This window comes from Homo sapiens, chromosome 5 (assembly GCF_000001405.40).
Source record: "Homo sapiens chromosome 5, GRCh38.p14 Primary Assembly".
NCBI lineage: Eukaryota > Metazoa > Chordata > Mammalia > Primates > Hominidae > Homo > Homo sapiens.
Window position 1 is genome coordinate 87,260,539 of NC_000005.10, and position 16,403 is coordinate 87,276,941.

At 41.8% G+C, this 16,403-nt stretch overlaps 1 protein-coding gene across 2 annotated transcripts in view, besides 6 other annotated features; it reads left to right on the top strand.

The window, feature by feature from the left end:
* Positions 94-388: a silencer, noted in NCBI's record as "tiled region #12969; K562 Repressive DNase matched - State 8:EnhW". NCBI's record gives its function as "represses a minimal TATA promoter and a strong SV40 promoter by Sharpr-MPRA in K562 cells {active_cell/tissue: K562}" and the evidence as "EXISTENCE:reporter gene assay evidence [ECO:0000049][PMID:27701403]".
* Positions 7,074-7,368: an enhancer, noted in NCBI's record as "tiled region #46; HepG2 Activating DNase unmatched - State 1:Tss". NCBI's record gives its function as "activates a minimal TATA promoter and a strong SV40 promoter by Sharpr-MPRA in HepG2 cells {active_cell/tissue: HepG2}" and the evidence as "EXISTENCE:reporter gene assay evidence [ECO:0000049][PMID:27701403]".
* Positions 7,117-7,366: a silencer, noted in NCBI's record as "silent region_16159". NCBI's record gives its function as "represses an Ori minimal core promoter by ATAC-STARR-seq in GM12878 lymphoblastoid cells {active_cell/tissue: GM12878}" and the evidence as "EXISTENCE:reporter gene assay evidence [ECO:0000049][PMID:35858748]".
* RASA1 (RAS p21 protein activator 1) overlaps positions 7,345-16,403 on the top strand; it is a 124,034-nt gene continuing 114,975 nt past the window's right edge. The window contains exon 1 of one of the 2 annotated variants that reach the window (NM_002890.3): positions 7,345-8,452. In NM_002890.3, coding sequence (NP_002881.1) covers positions 7,914-8,452 — 539 coding nt within the window. In that variant the 5' untranslated portion in view covers positions 7,345-7,913. Of the gene's footprint in view, positions 8,518-16,403 lie in introns of both variants that reach the window. The other variant, NM_022650.3, reaches the window with a different exon arrangement.
* Positions 7,422-8,309: an enhancer, noted in NCBI's record as "H3K27ac hESC enhancer chr5:86563777-86564664 (GRCh37/hg19 assembly coordinates)". NCBI's record gives its function as "activates a minimal SCP1, AML or CMV promoter by ChIP-STARR-seq in naive H9 embryonic stem cells {active_cell/tissue: H9 hESC(naive)}" and the evidence as "EXISTENCE:reporter gene assay evidence [ECO:0000049][PMID:30033119]".
* Positions 7,707-7,886: a silencer, noted in NCBI's record as "silent region_16160". NCBI's record gives its function as "represses an Ori minimal core promoter by ATAC-STARR-seq in GM12878 lymphoblastoid cells {active_cell/tissue: GM12878}" and the evidence as "EXISTENCE:reporter gene assay evidence [ECO:0000049][PMID:35858748]".
* Positions 8,067-8,116: an enhancer, noted in NCBI's record as "active region_22752". NCBI's record gives its function as "activates an Ori minimal core promoter by ATAC-STARR-seq in GM12878 lymphoblastoid cells {active_cell/tissue: GM12878}" and the evidence as "EXISTENCE:reporter gene assay evidence [ECO:0000049][PMID:35858748]".

The window sequence follows — 16,403 nt, forward strand, 5'->3', positions numbered from 1 at the left end:
CATGAGAGCAAAGACTGTACCTATTTTGGCATACTATTGTTTCCCTGGCACTTCAAAAATATTTGTAAGTGGAAGCAGAGAAGTAGTGGGAGCCACGAGTAAGCAAAAATCATGAGCTAGAGAGGTGTGGAGAGAGGGATGGCTGGTATTGGGGACAGATTCAGAAGCAGTAGAAGCAGTGACTGTGTTGGGGGAGCAGTGAATGAAGCAGTGTCAGAGCACCTGAGTCATGGGAATGGTGCAGCACCCGAAGGAGATAATAACATGGTCCTTATTTTTCAGACATGACACAGGCACGCCTGTTCATTCTCTGCAGCAGCTTCTGAATCCTGAACAATAAATACTATTATGGTTCCCTATGACACTAGACATTTTGTTGTGGAACAGTTTTCTTGTCCTGCCTTACTCCCCCAGGAATCCTTATAATAAACCTTCGTCACTTGAGGTGAACTGGCCACACCTTTGGAACTTAAAAGCCTTTCAGATCTGTCAGTTGAAGATAATAATACTGTCATACTTCCTGGAGTTGTAAAAGAGTCAATGTACAAAGAAGCACTTTGAAAACTTTAAAATTTTCTACTAAGTCATGACCTTTGGACCATGCTTCTATTTTCTAGCTCAAAAAACATGTTAAATAAAAAGAAGAGACATGGAATATGTTTGGAAGCAAGCAATAATTAAACAGTCTTAGAAAACCACTTCTGGCAGGCCCTGATCTAGAGACAAAATGCATCACTGAGAAATTAGGAGCTCCTGTCTCAGTCACACCATTAACACTGATTTTTTTTTTTTTTAAAGATATGGTCTTGCTCTGTCACCTAGGCTAGAAGTGCAGTGGCATGATCATGGCTCACTGCAACCTTGACCTTCCTGGCCTCAAGCGATTCTCTCACCTCAGCCTCCTCAGTAGCTGGGACTACAGGCAGAAGCCACTGTAACCTCGCTAATTAAAAAAAAAAAATTTGTAGGTTGGGTGTGGTGGCTCACACCTGTAATCCCAGCACTCTGGGAGGCTGAGGCGGGCAGATCGCCTGAGGTCAGGAGTTCAAGACCAGCCTGCCAACATGGTAAAACCCCATCTCTAAAAAAATACAAAAATCAGCCAGGCACGATGGCAGGTGCCTGTAATCCCAGATACTTGGGAGGCTGAGGCAGGAGAATTGCTTGAACCCAGGAGGCAAAGGCTGCAGTGAGCCGCGGTCGTGCCACTACACTCCAGCCTGGGTGACAGAGTGAGACTCTGTCTCAAAAATAATAATAATATTTGTAGAGATGGGGTCTCCCTGTGTTGCCTAGGTTTGTCTCAAACTCCTGGGCTCAAGGGATTCTCCTGCCTCAGCCTCCCAAAGTGCTGGGATTATAGGCATGAGCCACGACACCCAAGCTGAATAAGCTTCTTAACCATGTGTGCTAAATAGTCTTAGCACACTAGGGCTTTATAGAGTAAGATAAATATAAAATGGCTGAAATACAATGACATTCCAAAGTACCTAGACAGTTTCCAACTTACAATGGTTCCACTTAATGATTTTTGTACGTTATGATGGTATGAAAGTGATGGGCATTCAGTATGCTCCTTGATTTACAATGGGGTTTTGTCAGGACGTAACTCCATCTAAGTCAAGAAGCATCTGTACTTAACAGAAATAAGTTCTTCAATCCAGGGGTTCTGAAATCCTGGTACAATAGCTACTGTCAGTGTCAAGTCCACACCCCCTTGGAGTCACCTGTTCTGTGCATGCCAATGGTTTCTTACTGCATGCACCAGTGGCTCTCTACCTGAGGGCTTTCTCTAGCCATGAAGATGTTCAAATTGCACACAAGGCAGTCTGGAAGTGTTGCAGAGGAGATGCTTCCAGGAGCAGCCCTCAACCAATGCCAAATGAGAACTGATGGATAAAACACATTTTCTTTGACCCTTAGGCGTAACAACTCTCAGGTGGATTCTGTGCTGTGTCCCAGAGTTTCACATGAATGGAGTGCCCTACTTATCCACAGCAGCAACCTGCTCATTTTAGCATTCCCTGTATTGGCCCCCTCCCCTTTCTTGCTCTTGAACTGAAGTATTCTGGAATCACTTCCTAAGTAAAAAATTTAACACTCAAGTACTAGTCTCAAAGTCTGCTTCTGGGGAAATCCAAACTAAGATATTTTGTCAAACTAATGCTATTTGTTTTTCTTTTTTGTTGTTGTTGTTTTGTTGTTGTTGTTTTTGAGACAGAGTCTTGCTGTCACCCAGGCTGGTGTGCAGTGGCACAATCACAGCTCACTGCACCCTCAACCTCTGGAGCTCAAGCTATCTGCCCACCTAAGCCTCCCAATTAGCTGGGACTACAGGCATGTACCACCACACCTGGCTAATTTTTTCTATTTCTCATAGAGACAGGGTCTCACTATGTTGCCCATGCTGGTCTGGAACTCCAGGGCTCAAGTGATCCTCCTGCCTTGGCCTCCCAAAGTACTGGGATTATAGTCTTGAGCCACCATGCCTGGCCTTCAATGCCAATTTTTAATGCATCCATGGAAAAAGATAAAATAAGAACATAATATATGATGAATATTTCATGAAGCTAAATTTATGTAATTCTAAGGACTTTTCCTTTTTTTTCTAAAATTATTTCCATCCTTTCTCTTTCCTCCTTCCCTCTTTCTCCCTGCTTTGAAATGTCCTTTCCTTTTATGAAATAAAGCAGCAGGAAATGGCAGTTTTGTTGTAATAACAAAATACTTCTCTCTTCACAACATTGGCAAACTCATAATTGGCAATTCTGTAGTCTCTCAATTTTTGTGGAAACTTTAGTAGTCTATGAAACCCAGAAGTCTGAACATCACTGATACATACCATTATATTTACATGTCATATTTCATTGCTTTTTAAAAACTATTCGATAAACAGTGAATAGGAAGTTGAAAAATAAGAGTTCTAGTAAGATAACAAGTGAAGTTGAAAAGTCTTCAAAAGAGCACGCGGATTGAGAAATAATTATAGTTAGAAATAGAAAGCTGTTTTTAGTTGAGTAAAGTTACACTACTTACAGTGCATTTGCAGTAGTTAAAGCTCTCACCTTATTTATGATAATTATCTGACTCAAGGCTCCACTTAGCCCTTTCATTGTATAGTTACTTTAAAGAGCGGTGTGTATTGCCATACTAACTGAATTTGCAAGTGAAAGCATTCCTGGAAGACTCTCAGGTAGACCAAAGAATGTAACTTGAATTAGAGACTGCAGGATTCTTGAGGTGAAAAGACCAAAGCTTAGTTGGATTTCATGACTGTGCTTCAGGTGCTATTTAAATTGTTGCTGGCATATTCAAAAAATATTATCTGTGAAAAATGGGAGTGTAATAATGAGGGAAATATGGCAAAGTCCTACCCACCCGACTCTCCCACATTCTTTGCCTTGAAACCATTCCGTTCCCTTTTCTCCTTTACTTCTACCATGAGGTACTATCATATATAGGAGCCAGGCAAAGAAAGGAAAATACATAAATGTGCCTGGTCAGAGTAAAATAATAGGTAAAGAAAAAGAGACTAGAAATCATGAAGGAGGAAAGGTTCTGACAAAAAATAATGAAGTATCTGCAATATAAAGACAAAATAGGAATAAAGTAAAAAAAAAAAATATATTTTTCTATTATTTTATATTTTAAGAGATATTTAGATCTAACTGTTCTAATCTTCTTTACTCATATATTGGTTTGAATGTTTTGAGAGAGCTCTGGATAATTTACCTTGTAATTTATTTTACAGCCTCAGAGATCATCACACAGTTCTTCAATTTCTCTATGGTATTTATAATTTTCATAAATCTTAGTTATTATACCACATATTGTAATCTCTGCAGAGTTATTTGCCTTTTCATCAAAGTATTTCCTTTAACCTGTATCTCCTCGATGTTATTTTCTCATAAGATCTTTGTAATAAAAAAATTTGTGCTCTGGAGGGTTTTAAGATAAAGTCAATAAATGCAGTGGGGACATTAGGGTTAGAAGTAAAGGCTTTCTTTCAAAATTATTGGGTCAATGAAACCTTTTGATACTATTTAGGTAAATTTGGAAGGCTATTTGTGTAACTCAATATGTACTAGGGCATGGAACACAATTTGGCATTCTTCAAACACAGCAGTAAGCTCTTTATTACTTCTTGGTTAGTCCTCCCATCAGAAACTATTCTTACCTATGCTCTAAGGTCCTCTAAAATTACAGTTATGTTACTGAGTTAGAATTACCTTTCCACATACTCAAGATATCAAAACTATAAAATATTTTGGAACGTAGTACATTCATATTTCTTTTTCTTTTTTTTTTTTTTGAGACAGAGTCTTGCTCTGTCACCCAGGCTGGAGTGTTAGCCAGGATTGTCTCGATCTCCTGACCTTGTGATCTGCCCGCCTCGGCCTTCCAAAGTGCTAGGATTACAGGCGTGAGCCACCGCACCCGGCCACATTCATATTTCAGTTGCCAATGAAACCAGAATGAGCCAACTTCATTTCTTAAATTTTCAGTTTCTTTTCATACACAAGTTTTTGTCCAGCACTTTTTATTATTTAGTCTTCATTAAATACTATGTTTCAAGATCCAGAGTAACTTTTCTAAAATCACAGATATAATAGCTTATTTTACTAAAGGTAAAATATATTTTGAATTTTCTTTCTTTTGTGTACTATTCTGTTTTTCAATACCTCCCTGTTTAATATCTGTGAATTTAATTAAGATAGTTTACTTCCCTTTGTTAACTGGGCAGAAAGTTAAGGTGGGTAGAAAAGAAAGGCAATGGACAAAAATTAAGTAGAAACATTAAATCCTTTTGGAAAAAATGAAAATAAAGATAGACAACGTATTTGAGATTCAGAAAGTACACAAGCAATAGTAAAGATTAGAGCCTAGATCTATCCAATAATAGGAATATATTAAATATCTGAAAATACCTCATAAAAATATGTGGCAATTTCTTTGGAGGAAAAGAACAGGGCTAACTCTAAGGCTAAACAAAAACTAGGTAAGATATTGGTATAAGGCTGATTTACAAATAGACATAGTAGTTATTTCCTACTGGTTAAGAAATTGATTTCCAAAGATGGGAGCTGATCAAATTTGGTATTTGTTAAAAGGATGAAGATCTGTTCAAAGTAGCATACTGAGGTTGCCTAGGACTGGGCTAGGCAGTAGAATAGACCACAGGTTGTATTTGCAGTACAGTTTTGTAGGTACATACACCTAAAAGTCTAGAAAACATTTAATTGAGCATTTGATAGGTGTTAGACTGCATTAAATATTGACCTTTACAAGTGCTAAAGAATTGTCAAAAAGGAGGAGGTAATTCTGCAGTAAGAGTAGTGAGCCTCACCTGGACTCCCAGGCAACATACAGAGGGTGTGTGAACATTTAGAAATCAGTGATAACCAAGAGCCGGTGATAACCTGCCAGTTCAATGTCCTGCATTCAAGGGCTGACAGTGGTGACTGGGACAGGAATGTTGGAGGATTGGGATGCTAACACACTGGAGGTTTTCAAGCACAGGCTATATTAAGATTTGTTGGGATTGTTGCACTTGGTGTTCACACAGCAGACAGTAAGTAGAGTAGGTATTTTGATAGTCTTGTCTAACTGAGGGTCTAAGTTTAAAAGAAAACTGTTCTCAGGGAGGCCACCATAAGTAGTACTTCATTATTAAGTATTATGGAACTACTTCATTCTCATTTCTAGAACAGCACAGAGCTTGGCAACTCAAAACCCGCCTATTTTACCTACCCACCTAATGAATGACATTTATTATTTCTTTCAGAACCGTTTTTAGGTATTGCATACCTCCTTCTTGATTAGTATACTATACATTAATATAGTGGTTCTCAAACTTAAGTGTGCAAACAATCACTTGGAGGGTTTGTTAAAATGGATCGCTGCATATTTTCTGATTCAGAAGGTCTGAGGTGGCATTTCTGAATTCCTAGGATGTTGCGGCCTGAATTCACTTTGAGAACTCTAGCTCCTGTGACTGGTCCATCTTCCTTCTCCCAGGTAGCACACTGCTAAGAGATATGCGTAATGGAGGCCCCAGGACTACTCCTAATCAAGTTGGATTGTTGTCATTGACTAGGTAAATAGGCCTGTGCAAACTTACAAAGGCAATGCATTGCCTGTATCTTGTCACGTCTTTTAGTGGTCTTTTCTCTTTTTCCTGGGTTTCTATCACAGCCACTTGCCATCCTGAGTGTTAGTTTGATCATCCTTAGCACAGAAAATATTGATCTCAAAGATCAATATCCAATGGTATTTAATGTGGGATCACTCCTGGGAGAATTTAACAATATTGTTAATTTCAAACCATGGGAAGCTCCCTCTACATGAATGCATAGTTTGTATACATTTTAGTGTAAAAGACAAAATAACACCCTTCTCCTTAATTGTATTAAAAATGAGTTTTCAGTTTATTGCTACTTTTGAAACGATATATAATTATAACTAGCATTCTGGGACATTCTTGACATTTGACTTGTTGAAGGTGCTTGCATTGTGGATCACGTCCTGCAGTCTTTTGCACACAAACCAGGACAAAAGTGCATTGATTAGTGTTTTCTGTGGCACCTCCTCCTCTTCATCAGTATCCAACAGACTTATAATGGCATAGGTAAGTATATGAGACAGTTGATAAAGAAAAACGTATGCAAATACTGGTAGAAATCTTACTTCATAACCACTATTTCTACTCAAATTCTTCACCCTTCTCATATGGTGCCCTTTATTTCGTTTTGGAGTTTCAGAATCTATTTTAACTGTGTGTGTGTGAGATAGTCATAGTGATTTATAGCATGCAACGAAAAAGAAAACATTAATAGTACTGCCCCGATCTTCAAAGCTACCTGACCCCTGCCCGGTTTCTGCGCTGCTGGTTAAGGCTGTTTTTTCCACTGGTCAGGAAGTACGGAACTAGTTTCTGGGCATTTTCCTTTCCCTTTCCCCCTCCTTCCTCTCCACCGCCTCCTGGTCCCCCTCTGGTCTCTCCGGCTTTAACAGCGCCAAGCACCCGCGTGCTCAGGTACCCTTCCCTCTTCTCCCGCCCATCAAACAAAGCCCCGGGAGACAGGCGCGCGCCGCCGGCCACGCCAACAGGAGATGCGGCCGCGCCGCCACACGCTTGGAACCGGAGGAGGACAGCAAGCGCGACCACGCACCGCGCGTCCCCGCCGCTTCCTTCCCTCTGGACTCTTCCTTTTCCTCCCGGCCCGGCCCCCCGCCCCCGCTCCGGGAACGCGCCTGCGCACAAGCTGCCCTCTCCCTTCTCCGCCCTTCCTTCCCTCCGTCCCTCCTCCCCTGCCCCGCCTTCCTTTCTCTCTCTCCCGTTTCACTCACTGAGAGCTCCAGGTAGTGAGCAGTTCAGTCGATTTCCTCGTTACCCCGCCCCCCTTTCTCTTGCCCCCCCACCCCTCTCATCTGCCTGGTGGAGGATGAAGCGGCTGCAGTGGCCCCAGCCTCAGCAGCGGCACCGGCGGTGGCTGCGGTGTGGGTGGCCGGAACTGGGGTGGTGAAGAAGCGGTGGTGGCGGCTGAAGGAGCGGTAGCAGCCTCAGCCTCTTTCCCTGTGCTTCCTTTCCTCTTTAGTGCAGCGAGGAAGTTTTCGCTTCTGTACATGTGTTTGTGTGCGTGAGTGTGGGTGTGTGCGGTGAGGTTTGGGTGGCGTTTGTGCAGGCGTTGGGTTTTTTGCCCACTTGGCTTCCCGTAACCCAGGCAGCTGGGGAGCCTGGGCTGTGGCCCTAGGAGGGGGCGCGGCGGCGGGCTCTCTCCTTTTGTTGTTGTTTCCTCAGCCTGGGGAGCTGAAGGGGAGACGCGTCTGGGTGGGGCTGCTCGGAGCCCGGGCCTGGTGGCCCCTGGGGCTCCCGGGCGGGCAGGGTAGGGCAGAGTAGAGCGGGCTTCAACATGATGGCGGCCGAGGCCGGCAGTGAGGAGGGCGGCCCGGTAACAGCCGGAGCTGGAGGAGGCGGCGCGGCAGCGGGCTCCAGTGCCTATCCCGCAGTGTGTCGGGTGAAGATACCCGCGGCCCTGCCTGTGGCAGCCGCCCCCTATCCTGGGCTGGTGGAGACCGGAGTGGCTGGAACTCTGGGTGGCGGAGCCGCTTTGGGGTCAGAGTTCCTAGGAGCCGGGTCTGTGGCAGGGGCACTGGGGGGAGCTGGACTGACAGGGGGAGGTACTGCTGCTGGCGTAGCTGGTGCTGCTGCTGGCGTGGCCGGTGCTGCTGTTGCTGGACCTAGTGGAGACATGGCTCTCACCAAACTGCCCACTTCGTTGCTTGCTGAGACTCTCGGGCCAGGCGGCGGTTTTCCCCCTCTGCCCCCTCCCCCTTACCTGCCCCCTTTGGGGGCGGGCCTCGGGACAGTGGACGAAGGTGACTCTCTGGATGGACCAGAATACGAGGAGGAAGAGGTGGCCATACCGTTGACCGCTCCTCCAACTAACCAGTAAGTTAAGACTGCTGTTCAGGAATTTGGGAAGCTGGCTCCAGAAAAGAAGTGGAAATGAAGGGGTAAATCATACTTTGTCCTTTTCATCTGTGGTTTGTTAGGAAAAGTTTTTGAAGTTTCAGGTTTCTTGGGTAGGAATTTAATCTGATCACTTATCTTCCTTACAGGCATACTACCTGGCGTCTTCCTACATTTATTGCTCCTCTGGGAAAGTGTAAAGTCTTTAAGATGGAAAGCATGAGAAAATGTGTATCTAATGAGAACCGGATATAGTTCTGTCCCTTCCAAGTTGAGGTGGTGTCCCAGAATTTAGTCAAACTGCGGCTACCAAGGCAGTCATAGTGTATATTAACTTGTGTGTGTTACTTGATAAAGCTAGATGATTAGTGAGAAGCTTTGAATACAGGTGTTTAAACGAGTACTATAGTAATAATTTGAAAAATGTATTGGTTAGAATGTTTTTATTTCAGTGCACAGCCCAGCTTCTGATTAGAGAAAGCATAGTGATGCAGAAGAGTCTTTGGGTCACTTAATGAGAACTTGGGTCAGAGAGAAAGGAAAGGAATCCTGTGTATTATAGGTGTGATTAAGAGCCTATATTCCAACAATGTATCTTCTTCCATAGGCTTGCCACTTAATATTAACGCACTGCTTTTATAGTGGAGACTTTGGAAGTACAACAGTGAGGCAAAACAAAATCAATAGAGCTTCCCTTAAACATTTTTTGTTGGTGGCCAGTATAGTATTCTATTTAAAAATTAAGTTTTACAGTCTGTAAAATATACAGGACAATGACTTTTTTAAAATGTAAGTTAATACCTCCTCCTCACTTGTCTTAATTGAACTTAGGTGTTTATTCTTAAAGGTGGACCTTGATGAAAATGTTGAGATGGGAAGTGTTATTAGGCAAAACTTGTTATAGATTTCTCATATAACCCTTAATTGACCCTTAGAATTTTAACAACCGGCCGGGCGCAGTGGCTCACACCTGTAATCCCAGCACTTTGAGAGGCTGAGGTGGGCGGATCACCTGAGGTCAGGAGTTCGAGACCAACCTGGCCAACCTGGTGAAACCCTGTCTCTACTAAAAATACAAAAATAAGCCGGACGCGGTGGCACGCGCCTATAATCCTAGCTACTTGGGAGGCTGAGGCAGAAGAATCGCTTGAACCCAGGAGGCGGAGGTTGCAGTGAGCCGAGATCGTGCCGCTGCACTCCAGCCTGGGTGACAGAGCGAGACTCTGTCTCAAAAAAAAAAAAAAAAGAATTTTGACAACTTTGTTGAATATCAAGAAAAAAAGATTTGGTTCATATGTTGACAGTCACTCTGGACAATTCAGAGGTTTTTTTTTTTTTCCTTCCCCCCACCCCAGAGATGGAGTCTCGCCTTGTTGCCCAGGCTGGAGTGCAGTGGCGTGATCTCGGCTCACTGCAACCTCCGCCTCCCGGGTTCAAGAGATTCTCCTGCTTCAGCCTCTCTAGTAGCTGGGATTACAGGCGCATGCCACCATGTCTGGCTAATTTTTGTATTTTTAATAGAGACGAAATTTCGCCATATGGCCAAACTGATGTCGAACTCCTGACCTCAGGTGATCCGCCGGCCTCAGCCTCCCAAAGTGGTGGGATTACAGCCGTAAGCCACGGTGCCCGGCCTTTTTTTTTTTTTTTTTTTTTTTTTTTTTTTTTTTTTGGATAAGCTTCTTTGGAGCATTTAGAAAGTTCTGAAACTAATTAGGAAAAGATTCTGTTACCCTAATCCATTTTTGACTTAAGGCTACATCTTTTGATACTTAAAGGGGAAAAGTAAAGTTAGTCATATTTATGCCAGCCAACGGGATGTAGTATTCCACTTTTTATATTCCTCAATAAAGGATTCAAGTCTTTCGTCAGAGTTTGGTTCATATTTTAATGTCTTTGTAATGCAGAGTCCCTGGGAGTATTCTGGGAGTGTTAATTCCAATTTTGCTGGGCGCGGTGGCTCACGCCTGTAATCCCAGCACTTCGGGAGGCCGAGGCGGGTGGATCACCTGAAGTCCGGAGTTTGAGACCAGCCTGACCGAGATGGAGAAACCCCGTCTCTACTAAAAATACGAAATTAGCCTGGCGTGGTGGCGGGTGCCTGTAATCCCAGCTTCTTAGGAGGCTGAGGCAGGAGAATCGCTTGAACCCGGGAGGCGAAGGTTGCAGTGAGCCGAGATCCTGCCATTGCACTCCAGCCTGGGCAATAAGAGCTTAACCCCGTCTCAAAACAAACAAACAAACAAAAAAACAATATTACAGCACTGCTTTTGAAAAAAATAGTTCAATTTTTATTAAATGCTAATAGCATGCTTGGTACAATGGTTATGAAAAACAATGCAACTTTTCATACTGAAAGAATCTAGTCTTATGCTAGTTTATAACTAAATTAGGTATATTTAGGATATTGTAGTTAAAAAAAACTGTTTTTAGTAGACTTCTTTTTTTTTTTTTTTTTTTTTTTTTTTTTTTTGAGAGATGGAGTTTCGCTGTTTCGCCCAGGCTGGAGTGAAGTGGCGTGTTTTCGGCTCACTGCAAGCTCCGCCCCGCCCCTCCCCGCCTTCAGGTTCAAGCGATTCTCCTGCCTCAGCCTCCTGAGTACCTAGGATTACAGGTGCCCGCAACCAGGCCTGGCTAATTTTCATATTTTTAGTAGAGACAGGGTTTTGCCATGTTGGCCAGGCTGGTCTCGAACTCTGACCTCAGGTGATCCACTTGCCTCCCGAAGTGCTGGGATTACAGGTGTGAGCCACCGCGCCTGGCCCAATAGACTGTTTTTTAGAGTAGTTTTAGGTTCTCAGCAAAATTGAGGGGAAAATACAGGGTGTTCCCATTAAATTTTTAGTAATAAACACGATTGGGCTGGGGGTGGTGCTTCACGCCTCTAATCCCAGCAATTTGGGAGGCCAAGGCGAGTGGATCACTTGAGGTCAGAGTTCGAGACTAGCTTGGCCAACACGGTGAAACCCCGTCTCTACTAAAAAAAAAAAATCAGCCGGTCGTGTTGGCGGGCGCCTGTAATCCCAGCTACTCTGGAGGTTGAGGCAGAATTGCTTGAACCAGGGAGGGGGCGGTTGCAGTGAGCCGAGATCTGCCGTTGCACTCTAGCCTGGGCAGCAAGAACGAAACCCTGTCTAAAAAAAAAAAAAACACCATGATTGAGTACTTATGAAAAATTGTGAGAAATTCATTGTGTGGGATTTTCACCATTACTACATGTATTTGGAAATAAAAATTGTATGACTATGTATATGAAACTTGTTCATGTTCTAAAAAATACCCTCCATTTATAATATGTTTTTAAAATTTGCCACTGAGAAGTACAAATTTCCTTCTTATTTCATCTTAGTTATCAACCCAGAGTCACTGGAGGCAATGCAGTGTAGTGGTTAAGCGTGCAGATTCTGAAGTTAGACAAGATTTGGGTTGGAATCCTGACTCTGCCACTTACTAGCTGGGTATTCTTGGAAAGGTCAGTTTCCCCATCCGTAAAATGGGGATAGGAATGGTACCTTCCTCATATGATTGTTTTTTTTTTTTTAAGATTTAATGAATACCTTGATGTATTCGTCACAGTACTTGGGCATAGTAAGTGTTCGATAAATACGTAGTCCCCTGTGCCCATAACTGTAATATTTTACTAGCACTAAATTGTCTACTAATTCTTTTGGTTAGAGAATCTCCCTTGTTAAATGACTATTTTACAGAATGTTTTGAACTCCAAATCAAGCCTACCACGATTAATTATATTAAGAATTTTATTTTAACTTTATAAGGGCTTCTAGCAGTAGGTTAAGCAATTTTAGAGGTGAAATTCAAGTGTTCTCTATAAATTCCTATTCCTGAATGTAGATATTCATATTTTTAAGTGGAAGGAAAAGCCTTAAAGACATTTTCAAATAATATTTATCTTTTGTAAAAGTATTGAAGAAATGTTGGACTAAATACTGACTATGAGTAACTGGTCCCCTTAGTTATGGATAGCATGGTATTAAGGGGGTTTAGGTCACAGGATTGAGTCCACAAGTGGCTTGTTACTCGAGTGTTCCATGGTCAGGAAGTTAGTTCAACTTTGTTCCCAGTTTTGTGCTATTGATCACAAAAGAGTCAAATGACAATATGTAGATACACCAGTGCAAATAAATTAACACTATTAATTAGTATTTTGTACCTTGTTTTTCTGTGTACGTGGTGAATCATTAGTCTCATTTTTATTACTGAGCATTTTCATTAGTTTGGTTGAGGCTGGAAATGTTTATGTAATTTGTACTATTTATTTGAATATTTTTGAAAGTTTTGAGAAAATTATAAAAATAAAAAAAATTCTTCCTCTCTATTTCTCTACTATAAAAGTTTCTATATCTAAAACTGTTAACAGATTTCTTTTTCGAGAGAGAAAAGGTTAAATTAAAGAAGTTTGTCACTAGTACTCCATAATTTTTTGGAGTTTCTTTTCATGGTTCTCATTTTTTTTCTTCTGCAGGGTGAGGGGCAGTGGTGGTAAAGGTATATTGTTTGTGTAGTGCACCATCAGTTATATGTAGAGATTTTTAACTGTGAGTCTGCAGTAGCAAGTGGCCATTGGTGAGAATCCAACCCACAGATATATACTGCTTGCCCTTAGAGTATTTGGAATATTTGATAATTGTCACCATTTAAGAATAGAGATTTCTTTTCTTTTTCTTTTTCTTTTTTTTTTTTTTTGAGATGGAGTCTTGCTCTGTTACCCAGGGTGGTGTGCAGTAGTGTGATCTTGGCTCACTGCAACCTCCGCCTCCCGGATTCAGGTGATTCTCCTGCCTCTGCCTCCCCAGTAGCCGGGGTTACAGGTACACACCACCATGCCTGGCTAATTTTTGTATTTTTAGTAGAGACGGGGTTTCACTCTGTTGGCCAGGCTGGTCTCGAACTCCTAACCTCAGGTGATCCGCCTGCCTTGGCCTCCCAAAGTGCTGGGATTACAGGCGTGAGCCACCTCGCGGCCAATAGGAAGATTTCATATTTAAGAAGTCTCAACTTCTAGCATCTCTAGAAAACCCACAGGACTTGGCTATACCTGGTGGCCATTCCTGCTTGAGACTAGATTGCCAGAGCTGAGTAGCGGTTGACCCTTTTAGGTGGGTACTGAGGTCTCCATTTGCAGTCTCCACCAGGTCTGCTTTGCCTTTGCTATTGCAGTATTTGCCTGGCATCTGGCCTGGATCTTATGCTGAACCTAATATTCAGACTTCTCAAGTCTGAAACTTTAAGGAAAAGAAAATAAGGAATGTAAATAGTACCTTTCTTTTTTAAAAAAATCATTTTACTGTCTCTACAAAAATAAAATCATTCTTATTAAGTCAAATAATTGGTGAAGGTTAATGTTAGAACATGTAGCATTCATTAACTTTGTCACTGATTGCATTATACATATGGGTGAGCCATTGTTTCTTAATAAAAATGGGGGTGAGACTTGCTAAGATTAGTTACGGACAATGATTGATGACCAGAACTCATATTTTTTACTGTATTTGTATAAGTAGCAGAGAAATATAGTAGGTGCTTCAAGGGTTGCAAGAGTAAAATGCCCCTTTTCTCAATGGGAGAAAAGGGAGTATTAGATCTAGTAGGAAATTAAGTAAACCAATTACTGTGATTCAGGCTAGGTTAAGATAAATATCACGAGTGAAGTATGAGCAAAGGTCATGAGGGTTAAAAGAAAAAGAAATTTGTGTAATTAGGATCAGTAAATTCTTTGAGGAAAAATAGCAGGTATGTTTTTCCTGCTACTTAATTTATTTTCTGAGCAAGAGGTTATTGGTTCTGATGCTCTTCGCTTAATGATTCTATCAGGAAAACATAATTATGAATTAGATGAGTTTAAACTTTTCACCCTTAGTGAAGAGTCTGGTCTACAGAACTTTTAGTTACCTGTGGTCTGGAGGGAAGTTGACGGTGATGTCTGTAGTGACTGAGGTACAGAGCACAGTTGAATGCTAGAATCGGTATGGATCATTGATTAGCCACTCTGGGGAAAACAGGCAAACATTACTGGCAAAGCTAAAAAGGACAGCCATAAATTAGGAAGGGAAAAGGAAAAACGAAGAGTAGACTTTCTGGTTGCTTTACTTCTCTCTCTTTACTGGCCATTGGTGAAATGAACAGAGTCCCTTTAAGAACACTTAAATACCCAGAAAAGTACCTTTTGGGAAGAAGATTTTTTATAGTGATTATTAACTATAACAATGGTTACCACTGACATTTTTTGTTGTTGTTGCTTACTGCCAAACAGGAACAGTTCTAATTGGTTTATTTGTATTGTTTTGGTTATCTATTGCTGCATAATAAAGCACTCCAAAACATAGTGGCTAAAACAATTGTGTATTTGCCCTTGATTCTAAAATTTGTGTATGGCTTTATGGTGACTTCTCCACATGTGATCTGTTGGCTATAATGTCCACTGTGGCTTCTTAACTCATAAATCTAGTGCCTCAACTGGGATGGCTGGAGCAGCTGGTAGATGGCTGGGCATTTCCCTCTCTCTTCCTACCCATGTCGTCTCTCCACTTGAAGAAGGTTGGCCTTCTTTTTTTTTTTCCCCCCTGAGATGGAGTCTTGCCCTGTCGCCCAGGCTGGAGTGCAGTGGTATGGCTCACTGCAACCTCCGCCTTCCGGGTTCAAGCATTTCTCCTGTCTCAGCCTCCCAAGTAGCTGGCATTACAGGTGCGTGCCACCACGTCCAGCTAATTTTTGTATTTTTCATGGAGATGGGGTTTCACCATGTTGGCCAGGCTGGTCTCGAACTCCTGACCTCGTGATCTGCCACCTTGGCCTCCCAAAGTGCTGCGATTACAGGCATGAGCCACTGTGCCCAGCCAGCTTGGCCTTCTTCATAGCATGGCAGCTATGGCAGTTCCGTGAAAGACCTTTCCAAGCCCTAGTGTGCCGGTATTTATCAAGCTTCTGTGTTCCTCATCCTTGCTAATGTTCCAATGGTGAGTGCTGGTCACATAACCCAGTGTGCATTAAATATGGGAGGGGACTATAAAATGGCATGAATACAGCAAGTTGAGCTTTCCTCAGGGCATCAAAGTAACAGTACCATGTGTATTACTTATTTTCATGTAATACGAGATAATAGAATACTAGTAGTGAGGGACAGGCTGGGAGATAGGACAAATACTTATGAGTTCTTCCTTCAGGCCCAGCAAGCTAAGTTGTCTTTTGTTAAATGAGTCAAATTTCTCCACAATAGATGTTGCTTTTTGGCTACCATTACCTTAATTTTAAACCAAAAATACTGAATACGGATGTTGTTTATTGTTTGAATATGCAGGTATTTCTGTGTTACCTTGAAATCACTGGCAGTACATTTCAGTTTTGTGCTGCGTTAAAAATTGTTGTTATTAGATACAACTTATTGATAACTATGTATGTCTTGTCACATCTCTACAGGATTTAGGGTATGATGATTTTAGGTGTTTTAGTGGTTATGTGATTTAGTGAGTAAAATAATGAACAGTATGGGGGACAAAAAGAAATATACAATTCTACAGTCTAGTTGGAAGATGAGGCATTACTGGTAGGGAAATAAGATGATAAAAGTAGTCTACAGATACGTTGTGCAGGTAAATTTTTCAAATTCAGAGGATAGTTGCCAAAGAGTGAAAGAATGAAAGTAAATGAAAGAATGATACTGAAATTTCATACCATAATTCTCTTGAAGGAAATTTCAGTATCATTCATTTAGGATTATTACAGTGAGAAAGTGTGATTAACTTTTGTAACATTTGTGTTTCAAATTGTAGTCAAGTTGTTATGTGTAACATAGAGTTTTAGTTACAGAGGGAAGCTTCTCTGCTTAGATACAGAAGTAGCCTTAGGTAGAGTGACTTGCTTCACTCCACCCTACACCCTAGCTAAGTTCATATAACTAGGTAGTGGTAGAACT